At 38.8% G+C, this 12289-nt stretch overlaps 1 protein-coding gene across 1 annotated transcript, besides 2 other annotated features; it reads left to right on the forward strand.

The window, feature by feature from the left end:
* Positions 4915 to 5260: a mobile genetic element.
* Positions 4915 to 5732: a promoter, noted in NCBI's record as "-719/AflII to +95 fragment". NCBI's record gives its function as "promoter in JEG-3 placental cells" and the evidence as "EXISTENCE:reporter gene assay evidence [ECO:0000049][PMID:12606452]".
* Positions 5638 to 9523, forward strand: INSL4 (insulin like 4). Its single transcript, NM_002195.2, has 2 exons — positions 5638 to 5938; positions 7873 to 9523. Exons 1-2 carry the CDS (start codon positions 5743 to 5745, stop codon positions 8094 to 8096), a joined length of 420 nt encoding a protein of 139 aa, NP_002186.1. The 5' UTR covers positions 5638 to 5742; the 3' UTR covers positions 8097 to 9523.
* Positions 9524 to 12289: the final 2766 nt, after the last annotated feature.

Genomic DNA, 12289 nt, shown 5'->3' on the forward strand with positions numbered 1-12289 from the left:
GCATTCCCCTTGAAAACCAGCACAAGACAAGGATACCCTCTCTCACCACTCCTATTCAACATAGTATTTGAAGCCCTGGCCAGGGCAATTAAGCAAGAGGAAGAAATGAAGGGTATTCAAATAGGAAGAAAGGAAGTCAAATTATCTTTGTTTGCAGATGACATGATTCTATATCTAGAAAACCCCATAGTCTCAACCCCAAAGCTTCTTAAGCTGATAAGCAATTTTAGCAAAGTCTTAGGATATAAAATTAATGTGCAAAAATTGCTAGCATTCCTGTACACAACAGACAAGGAGAGAGCCAAATCACGAATGAACTCCCACTCATGATTGCCACGAAAATAATAAAATACCTAGGAACACAGTTAACAAGGGAAGTTGAAGACTTCTTCAAGGAGAACTACAGACCACTGCTCAAAGGAATCACAGAAGATACAAACCAGTGGAGAAACATTCCTCGCTCACGGATAGGAAGAATCAATAACACAAAAATGGCCACACTGCCCAAAGCAATTTATAGATTCAATGCTATTCCCATTAAACTACCTTTGACATTCTCCACAGAATTAGAAAATACTATTTTAAAATTCATATGGAACCAAAAAAGAGCCCAAATAGCCAAGACAACCCTAAGCAAAAAGAATAAAGCTGAAGGCATCATGCTACCCAATTTAAACTATACTACATAGCTACAGTAACCAAGACAGCATGGTATTGGAACAAGAACAGACACATAGACCAATGGAACAGAATAGAGAAGTCAGAAATAAGACCATACACCTAGAGCCATCTGATCTTTGACAAACCTAACAAAAACAAGCAATGGGGAAAGGATTCCCTATTTAATAAATGGTGCTGGGAGAACTGGCTAGCCATATACAGAAAATTAAAACTGGACAGACCCCTTCCTTACACAATATAAAAAAATTAACTTAAGGTGGATTAAAGACTTAAATGTAAAATCCAAAACTATAAAAACCCTAGAAGAAAATCTAGGCAATATTATTCAGGACATAGGCATGGGCAAAGATTTCATGAGAAATATACCATTGGCAATTGCAACAAAAGTAGAAGTTGACAAATGGGATATAATTAAACTAAAGAGCCTCTGCACAGCAAAAGAAACTATCATCAGAGTGAACAGACAACCTACTAAATGGGAGAAAACTTTTGCAATCTGTCCATCTGACAAAGGTCTAGTATCCAGAATCTACAAGGAACTTAAACAAATGTACTAGAAAAAAACAAACAACCCCATTAAAGAGTGAGCAAAGGACATGAACAGACACTTCTCAAAAGAAGACATTCATGGGGCCACAAAACAATTGGAAAAAAGCTCTACATCACTAATCATTAGATAAATGCAAATCAAAATTACAATGAGATACAATCTCATGCCAGTCAGAATGGCAATTTACTACAAAGTCAAGAAACAACAGATGCTGGCAAGGTTGCAGATAAATAGGAATGCTTTTACACTTTGGTGGGAATGTAAATTAGTTGAACCATTAAGGAAGGTGGTGTGGCAATTCCTCAAAGATCTAGAACCAGAAACACTATTTTACCCAGAAATTCCATTAGTGGATATACACCCAAAGGAATATAAATCATTCTATTACAAAGATACATGCACGCTTATGTTCACTGCAGTACTATTCACAATAGCAGAGGCATGGAATCAACTGAAATGCCCATCAATGATAGACTGGATATAGAAAATGTGGTACATATACCATGGAATACTATGCATAAAAGGGAATGAGATCATGTCCTTTGCAGGGACATGGATGGAGTTGGAAACCGTTCTCCTCAGCAAACTAACACAGGAACAGAAAACCAAACACTGCATTTTCTCACTTATAAGTGGGAGCTGAATGATGAGAACACATGGACACATGGTGGGGAACAACACACTCTGGGCAACTGTGGGGGTGGTGGGGCAAGGGAGAGCATCTGGAAGAATGACTAATGGATGCTGGGCTTAACACCTGGGTGATGAGATGATCTGCGCAGTAAACCACCATGGCACACATTTACCTATGTAATGAACCTGCACATCCTGCACATGTACCCCTGAACTTAAAGTTGAAAAAAAAAGGAATAGGAAATAAATAATAAAATGTGATTTAAAAACCCTTTTCACAAACTACAACACACATAGTATACAAAAGTTGATCATAAAGGTATACAATTTTGTGCATGAACATGTGTTACCAATATGTTCTCCCTGAAACTGTTGAATTCTTCTGCTCTTTTCTTGCCTTTTTTGGTGTGTGTGTGTGTGTGTGTGTGTGTGTGTGTGTGTGTGTGTGTGTGTGGCCTCCAGCTCCAGACTCTAGAGACAGTAATTGTAGTTTCAAATTAAGTATTCAGATAACTGGTAACAATTAATCAATCACCCATGGGAGTTCAAAGAAAGAAATTCATGGAAAGATACAATGTGATTTCTCCCAAGTATAAAAAAAACCTCCATGGGTGCTCTCCCAAGACTTAACAGTCAACCCTATAGGATGCCTGTGTTTCTCATCCTTCTCAGGATCAATGGAGGGCAGATGTAAGTACATACCTTTGAAGAAAGTTCCTTGTAAACTTCAAACATTGTTATACAAGCCTAAAGTGATGTTATTGGAATTTTAATAGTGTTCACAGGACCTGGTTTAAACATCACTAGTCGTCTTTCTCTAATGAACAACTGATCCATCCACTCATCAAAATACTATGGATAGATACACAAGACAATATAGAAATCAATACAATATATTTTAATGTTTGGAAGAAAAAATACAAATAAATACGGAGTAAGTTAGGAGAAATATTAAATGTGGGAGTTGAGTCAGGCTGGTGGGAAAAATTTAAAGATAGTTATAAGAAAAAGATGCAAACCTTCTTGGAAGGCTGGAGGTGTTGCATAAGCTCCAGTAATAGATCAGGCTGGAGGCAGCCTAATCCTTACCTTGAGTTAATAGCTTAGGGCACAGATACAAAGGAATGTATAGTAGTTTATCTAAATAGCTTGTTTACACATGTGGTCTTAAGACCAACCTTTGATCAACCGCAGGTGCATAATTGCTCTCTACTCGGGAGGGTGGCAATGTCTACACTCTATTGGGCTCATATCTTAGATCCACTTTTCTTTTGCCCTGTCACTTGGGTATACAACCCCTTCCCAGCCTTTAATAACGTGACTGCTTAGCTAGGAGGGATAGATTTACCCCCAGTGGGGTTCCTCAATAATGGCACACATTGGACTAAGGTGCCAGATAACACTACAGATCACTCTACTATCCTCCCATTGTGTGTAAATTATAAATGTTCTAACCCTTAGTGTGCACCTACTGAAACACAATTATGGCTACATCATGGCAAAAGAAGTGCCTTAACAGTCTTAGCTGCAGGTAGCCTCAAAACGGAAATCAAGTCTGCTTTCCCAAACATTCCTTCCTGTGCTAAAGAACAAAGCCGGAAAAATAACGGATTCCACTTTAGCTGGGAGATCTGTCATGGGGAATAAGCTCATAGCCTCCAGTTAGGCAATTATAACATCCTAGACTGGAGCCCCTGTGGCCATTTGTAGGGCAGCCTTACTGATATCCTCATCCATCATGGCATCGATCACAGTTTCATAGCCTCGTCCCATTCCCTTATGATTTGGGCCGATGGGAGGATAGGATATCCCAGACCCCGAGTAAAGTTGATGCCTCCCCAAGACACTTTATGTTGCCTGGGACATCTTAGCACCTCCCTTGACACCTGGCATGGGACATATCATAATTACAGTAACAACTATACTATAACCTTTATTCATAATCACACTGATCAGTCCCTAATTTGCAACTCCATCCATATGTTTTCCTTATGGGAACTAATATTTCTATTACAACCCAAAATTCCATGTTTGTGACCCGGGTGCAAGGACAGGCTTTGTTTGCCTCATGTACCACTAATTACAATATATCTAATTTAAATACTACTAGTGTCATGGTATTAAGGAGACAATCTGAGGCATTCCTACCCGTCAATTTGACACACTATTGGCAAGGTTCCTCTTCCTTTGCCACCTTAGAATGTGCCCTATCCCAGGTCAGACCCAAAAGATTTATAGGCACACTTATAACCTTTATAGTCTCAGCCATAGTCATCCTAGCAACTGCTAGTGTGGCTATAGCATCTACTACCGAATCAGTGCAAACAGCTGCTTTTGTAGACAATTTGGCCAGAAATGTGTCTAATGAACTTCTCTTACAGCAGGGTATAGATCAAGAGATTCTTGCACGTCTGCAAGCCCTCGAGGCTGCCTTGGAATTTGTGGGGGAGCGACAAGATGCCCTAGCATTCTGATAGCAATTAAACTGTGACTGGGAGCATAAACATATCTGTGTCACATTTTTACCTTGGAATCAATCAATACATAGTTGGGATGAGGTGAAACAACACCTCTGGGGAAACTTTCATGACAATTTAACAGCAGACGTAAAGCAACTTAAAACTAAAATTTTAGAATCCCTTCACATGATAGATCTACATACTCAACAAACAGCCATATGGAAAGGTGTGCAAGATCATTTCTCCTGGTTATACCCCCGATCCTGGGGGTCACACTTTGACTGGAAAGGAATGTTACTAATTATACTCATGATTGTCTTACGTTATTTGCTAATTCTATGATGCAAAGCCGGAATAAAAGCAAAACCTAACAAACCTGTTGCTGCACACATCTGTACTCTTAAGTCAACAGAACCCGATGCAAAGAACAGAAAGGGGGGAGATGTGAGAGTTCAGTCAGGCTGGTGGGAAAATTTTTTCAGATAGTTATAAGAAAAAGACGCAAACCTTTTTGAAACGCCGGAGGGGTTTGTATAAGCTCCAGTAATAGATCAGGCTGAAGGCAGCCTAATCCTTACCTTGAGTTAATAGCTTAAGGCACAGATACAAATGAATGTAGTTTATCTAGTTTGTTTACTCATGTGGTCCTAAGACTAATCTTTGATCAACCGCGGGTGCATAATTGCTCTCTACTCGGGAGGTTGGCAATGTCAATTACCTTCTAGTGGTGTTTACTCAAGACCTTCGTCATTTAATCTATGCTGAATAAATGTGAGCTTTGCTGGCTGATCGGGGCCACGGCTGCAACTCTTTACAGCACCCTCCTTGGTGTCTGTAGGTGGCCCGGACCCTCAGCTGGACTGACAGGCAAACTATCTGTGTCAGTGTATGTTATTCATCCGTCGTTGGGTCAGGGTCTGTGGGACAGACCCCCGCAATTAAAAGCTTATATGCCAAATGTTAACTAAGATAATTTCTAGCCAATGAGCTTACAGGTCAGTTCTATTTTTATTTCATCTAAGCAAAGGACATTAAAAATTACCATTATTTTAGTAAGCATAAAAATAGTATTACAGGAGGAAAGTTAAGAAAAAGAAGTAGAACAACCAAATTCAAAACAAGCAAAGTGCAGCAGCACATTGGGAGCAAAGAGGGATATGAGAGTGTGGGTAGGGCAAGTAGGGAGACTAAATAAGAACTGAGGGAGAAAGTTCCTTGTAGGTGGGTGGGAAAGGGGTGGAACTGACACCATTGACGCAAAAGCTGAGTAATAGCCCTAAGCAAATAAATGCCTGATGAAGGCATGCAGAAAGCAGTCTGGAGCCCAGAAGGGACACACCAGCACAGTCTGGTAGGCTACAGCAGCAAGTCTCTAAAGAAAGGCTGAGAACACCCAGAACAGGAGAGTTCAGGTCCAGGATGGCCAGCCTGTTCCGGTCCTATCTGCCAGCAATCTGGCTGCTGCTGAGCCAACTCCTTAGAGAAAGCCTAGCAGCAGAGCTGAGGGGATGTGGTCCCCGATTTGGAAAACACTTGCTGTCATATTGCCCCATGCCTGAGAAGACATTCACCACCACCCCAGGAGGGTGGCTGCTGGAATCTGGACGTCCCAAAGGTGAGAGCCCTGGACTACCAAACAATCAGAATGAGGCCTGAAAAAACAGGCTCCAGATCTCATTGACTGCCTGTAGTCAACTCAGACTCTACTGTGGCTAGTGCCTACAAGTTTGTGGTTTTTCATTGTAATGTGCTTTTATTAAAAGGGTCTCACCAGAAATCTCATGGGAAGTTGGGGGTAGAGGAGAAGCTGCAGGAAAAACAGAAGAACAGCCTCACCTTGGAGGCTCTTGGTGCCTTTCCCACCTGGCAGCCAGAGATACAGGGTGGAGAAAACAGGGAATCCTCAGAGAAGGTGACTATTCTCAAACACCAGCAGGAGGTGAGGTGTACTCCCAGACCCCCAGGAAAGCTGGGCAGGCCAGAAAACAGGTGTGATTGCAATGAGATGCCTGGGCCAGGCATCTTCAATTAAGAAGAAAGGGGACAAACAGTGAGGTGATGAGCTGATTATCATTTCTGTTTATGCACCTATTGGCCTAGGGGCAGCACACTGAGACCTCTGTTAGGTTCCTGGAATGTGAGATAAAGGGGGCTTAGATTTAATAACTCTCATCCTTTGTCATTAAGCTGGGCAGTGGTCTATGTCACCAAAAACGTCCTCTTACAAAAAAGTTTTTTTTAATGCACACCAACAGAGCACCTTGCCTCCCATTTCTTTGAATCTACTCTTGTAGTGTGTTGAGAGAGATGAGATGAAGAGAAAGAAAGTGGCCTGGATGACTAGAGGGGAAATTGAAGGGGACCAGAGACAAGGGAATTTCACTGTTCAGACCATCATAGCTGATTTGATTAGTGTTTTCAACATTTGAGACTGCAAAGCATTTTCTTTAAAAGCAAGATTTCAGAATTGAGGAAAGTTCAATACCAGGATAGTTTTCAAACTTTACCAAGTAACAAGGTATTCATAAAGATAAATTGCCAGCTAAGTTAAAACTAGCAGGGGCAGTTTCGAAAAGAGATAGAGGCTACTATATTCTGTCTAATAGGTCGTATTAAGTTCTGAAAAGCTAAGTTAAATTACTAAACATTGTTTTACATTTAATACAAATGACACAGGTTTTGAACCAGCAATGTGTGACTCCAGAACTGCTTCTTGTAACCCATATGCATACACTTCATTAAATCATTAAATGACTCTGTTTAAAGTTATCGTGCACAGTGAATGCACTTGGATTTTGTGTGATTTATATAACGATTTCAAAGTTATTTCCTTTTTTTACATTATTAGTCAGAGCTTGTTTCATTTTACTATAAAATAAGGGAAGAATACCACAAAGTCCAAACAATTTCTAATGCAAACTAAGGAAGAGCATGCTGTACTATAATTTCTATTTAAATTTCACTTTTTTTCAGTAAATAAGTGAAAATCCTCATTTAAATACTTTGACAAATATAGATAAATTTAACAAGAAAAATGGAAAGTATTCATGGATAACAAATGTTAACATTTGGTGTCGACACATATAGATGTATGTTGCTTCTCAGCCTTTTAGCTAAGATCCACTGATATAGATGTATAGATTTATGTGGATCAGATTTGAATATCTGAATCTTTCTATTAGAATAACTTGTGATTATAAAAAAAATTCCCTATTGCTATCCAGTACATAATGCATTGAGGTTATCAATCAAAACAGTGTCAGGGAGAGTCAAAAGTGGTATGGTATAGGCATTTAGAGGGTCATTAGAAGAGTGCATAGAGGGGACAGGATGAGGAGTTAGCATATCCTTAATATTGTAGTATCTTAAAGTGCCCTACTCTAAGTAAGCTAAGTTGTTGAAATGTTAGGATACTTGCTGATTCTCTCTGGTGTTTAATTACATGGAGGCAATGGGTACATTGTGGTCTAGGCAAATTGTATAATTTTTCTGATCCTCTTTCACATGAATGTTTTTCCTCACCTTTCATTCCTCTCTTTTACTTCACAGAAATGGTGTCAACCTCCAACAACAAAGATGGACAAGCCTTAGGTACGACATCAGAATTCATTCCTAATTTGTCACCAGAGCTGAAGAAACCACTGTCTGAAGGGCAGCCATCATTGAAGAAAATAATACTTTCCCGCAAAAAGAGAAGTGGACGTCACAGATTTGATCCATTCTGTTGTGAAGTAATTTGTGACGATGGAACTTCAGTTAAATTATGTACATAGTAGAGTAATCATGGACTGGACATCTCATCCATTCTCATATGTATTCTCAATGACAAATTCACTGATGCCCAATTAAATGATTGCTGTTTATTAGAACATGAGAATCATTATTAGTATTCACATGTTTCACTTGCTCTGTACTAATATAGTCTCTCCAAATGGAGGAAGTTAGATAGATGGAATAAGTTCTAGTAGTTGATAGTACAATGGGGAAATTATACTTAACAATAATTCACTGTATATTCCAAAATAGCTAGAAGAGAATTGTAATGATTCCAACACAAAAAAGATGAATGTTAGTTTGGATGCATATCCCAATTACCCTGATTTGATCATTACACATTATATACACGTATCAAAATATCACATGTACTACAAAAATGTGTATAACTGTAATATGTGAACTACAAACTTACTGGAAATAAATTTTTAAAGTTTTACACACATAAACACATACGTTCACACACACTCACTCAAGTCTCTTCATTTTTCCTCTTTTCACACTAGAAGAAATGTAAGAGATAAAGGATCTAACCATCTCTAACATCAGCTCATAGTACGGAGGAAAAGCAGTGAAGGAATGAACTGGTGGGAGAGGTATTAGGCATGTTCACCCTAGGGTAAACCCAGAGACCTCCCTAGAACTTTGCCCAATGCATATCCTCCACCTGCCTCTCAGCACGCTGCCTTTAGACCTTCAATCATTCTATAAACTCCTCTTTTGTCCCTGGCATTACTCCACATCCCCTCATCAAAGTGGTGAATTGGCACAAATACTGGCATTCCTCTGGCTACACATACCTCCTCCCTATGTGTCTCTAAATCCTAAATCAAAGAGTACATTTTATACTCTGTCAGTGAGGTTCTACTAGTTGTGTTTGTTTGTTTGCAGGCTAACTGAAGCTGCTACTACCTCATTATCAGGTCCTATAAACTTAATTCAAGTGGCATGATTTGAGTAGCCCCCTGTGCCTGCCCATAAAGTGCTCTGAATCTAGTGTGGGACATGGAGAAGCAAAGGATAATAAGTGCAATGATACTTGTAGGTCATCATAGAGACTGTAATGATCCACAGGAATCAGGGTCGTGTTTAATGCCAACATGTGAAAGAATAAATATACAGGGAACAGTGTAGGTAAGAGGAGAGAGCAAAATTTCCCTAAGGAAACTGATGGCTGATCTGCATCTTGAAAGACATCTAAGCAGAAGAGAGTGCAAAAAGGGACAAGTAGAAGCCCAGGAAAATGCACAAAGGCCTGGAAGCATAGCATGTGTGGAAACAGCCAGAGTCAGCAGGGCAGGAGGTGGTGTGGAGAAAAGGAATTGTCAAGATCTGGTTGGAATGGAGACAGGAGAGAGGATCTCAAACGATTCCACACAATGCAGCTATGGGGTTTAGGCTGCATCCTGGAGTAAGGAAGAACTGCTCATGATCTTGATACATCTCTCATAAAGAACTTTTTCCTACCAATACTCTATTGAAGATGAAGAGGGATCATGGGAGTCATAGGGCAGAACTCATAGATTATACTGTACAGTCTGAACTGTACCACCTGGTTTGCCTAGACTCCTCTAGATTGTTCTTTGAGAACAAAGGGGAGAAGCGCATAAGGTGTATTTCTTGACAGTAGTGTCGATCAATAAAATATCAATATTTTGGGTCTCTACGTTATTCATGATCAATGATTGAGTTTACTCTATGTGTCTATCAGTTTTCTAGGACTTTAGGATTCAGGAGAGAAAAAATAATAATTATGCTTTCATGGAGCTTCTACCTGGTTACTTGACTGACTCTGAACCTTCTCTTGGCACATGCATTCTATACATAATTCTATTCTTTTAGTAAAAATAGAGGTATGAAAAGAGGATAATAGAGAAAGCTCCATAATTTTATCTGGTGTCTATCATTTCAATCTCTTAACCAGGAAATACCCAAAGACTGCTTCCAGGAGGATTTTTAGGAGATGGAAATATCTCTCACTCTTTGTCCCACTGCTTATAAACCTGCATGACACCCTAAAGTGACAGCAGGACAGGCACCTAGAGTGGTTCCAAGGATGTATGAAGTCCTTCAGCTGCTTTAAGAAAGTACACAAACTGGTGGCTTAAGGCAATTGAAATACATTTTCTCCCAGTTCTGGAGGTTAGACATAGAAAGATGATGCACTTTCCGTAACAGGTACAGTATAATCCTCACTGGCTTCTGGTGGTTTGCTGTCAATCTTTGGCATTCCTTGGCTTGCAGGTGCCAATCTTCAGCCTCCACACTGTCCATACATGGTGTGCTCTCCGTTTCTGTGTGCACATTGTTTTCTTATGAGTACACTAGACATTTTGATTTAAAGGTCCACTCAGGCTATGATGACTTCATCTTAACTAATTATATCTGCAACAATTATTTTTATAAGCATATTCTGAAGGATTATTATCTTAGTCCATTTTCTGTTGCTAATAACAGAACACCTGAAATTGGGTAATTTATAAAGAAAATAAATTTATTTCTTACAATTAAGGAGTGTAGGAAGTGCCAGAGCCTGTCCTGGCATCTCATGAAGACTTTCTTTCTGATGGGAAATCTCTACTGGGTCTTGATGTGTTGCAGAGTATCACACAGCAAAAGTCCAGAGCATGCTAACATACTTGCTTAGGTCCCCCTTCCTCTTTTTATATAAGCTACCATTTCACTCCTCTGATAATCCACCAATCCTTTAATTCATGAAAGGGTTAATCCCCTCATGAGAGCAGAGCTTTCATGACCCAATCACTACTTAAAGGCTCCAACTTTAATTCTGCCAAAATGGAGAGTAAGCTTCCAACACATGAAATTGTGGGACACATTCAAACCATGGCAAATGTTGGTTATGACTACAGTATGTCTTTTATGGGTCCTAGCTGAACCAAAGATACCTGAGGGAACACAGCAATTTACCTCTCCATTCTCTCTCTACAAGTTATTTAGAAATAAACCATTCCTCAGAGGACACAGAACACAAATATTTCTTCTAGTAAATATAAAATGGTACAGTGAAAATGGAAAAGCATTTGATAGTTTTTTTAAAAAAAACTAAATATGAAAATACTTTATAACCCAAAACTTTCACTACTAGATCTTTACCAAATATTCACACAAAATTATTTATATGAATGTCCATAACAATGTTGGATTTTTTGTTAACACTTGGGCATTATGGAATGTCCATCATTATGTCTATAACATAACTATGAATGCTTCTTTATAGTAATGAAACACTGGAAACACCCCAATGCCCTTCATATATGAAGATTTAACAAAGTCTGGTATATCCATATCATAGAACACTACTCATCTATTAAAATGAGCCAATTATTAATACACAAAACAACCTGGACAAATTTCAAGAAAACTAGGCTAAGTATAAATCATCGGTCACAAAAAGTAACATTTTGTGATTCCTTTTTATAAAATGTTCTTGAACAAAATTATAGAAAATAGGAATAATTTTTCAAGGTGAAGGCCAGGGAGTGGGGCACGAGTGGGTAGTAGGTGTGACTATAAGGATTGCTTGAGGTGCTGAAATAGATTTATATCATGCTTCTATCATGGCCAATATTCTGGTTTTGACATGGTACCATTGTTTGAAAAGATATAGTCATTGAGGACAACTGGGTAAAATGCATTCAGAATCTCTGTAAATTATTCCTTACAGGACATATATGACCCTACAATAATCACAAAATTAAAACTCTGGAAACAACAAGAAAACAAACAAGCTAGTTCAAAAATGGGAAAATAACTTGAATATATATCTTGCATAAGAAGATACACAAATGACTTACAAGCACCTGAAAAGATGCTCAATATTATTAATCATTAAGGAAATGCACACAAAAACCACAATTAGGTATCATTTCACATTCATTAGGATGGTCACTATAAAAAGAACACAAAAACATAATAGAAAACAACAAGTGTTTGCACATACATGTAGAAATTGGAAATCTTGTGCACTGTTGTTGGGAATGTAAAATGGTACAGCCATTGTGAAAACAGTATGGTAGTTCTTCAAAATAGAAAATGGAATTATGATATAAGCAGTAATTCCATTTTCAGCTATATATCCCAAAGTATTGAAAGCAGGGCCTCAACTAGATGTTTATAGACTCACGTTCAGAGCAGCATTATTCATATTACCTAAAAGGTGAAAGAAATACAT

Source organism: Homo sapiens, chromosome 9, assembly GCF_000001405.40.
Source record: "Homo sapiens chromosome 9, GRCh38.p14 Primary Assembly".
Taxonomy (NCBI): Eukaryota; Metazoa; Chordata; class Mammalia; order Primates; family Hominidae; genus Homo; species Homo sapiens.

Bases quoted from the DNA above. Each gene is read 5' to 3' on its own strand.
- INSL4 (NM_002195.2), top strand. From the start codon at position 5,743: ATGGCCAGCCTGTTCCGGTCCTATCTGCCAGCAATCTGGCTGCTGCTG. The intron at 5,939-7,872 runs GTGAGAGCCCTG...TTTACTTCACAG, and splicing joins GGAATCTGGACGTCCCAAAG to AAATGGTGTCAACCTCCAAC.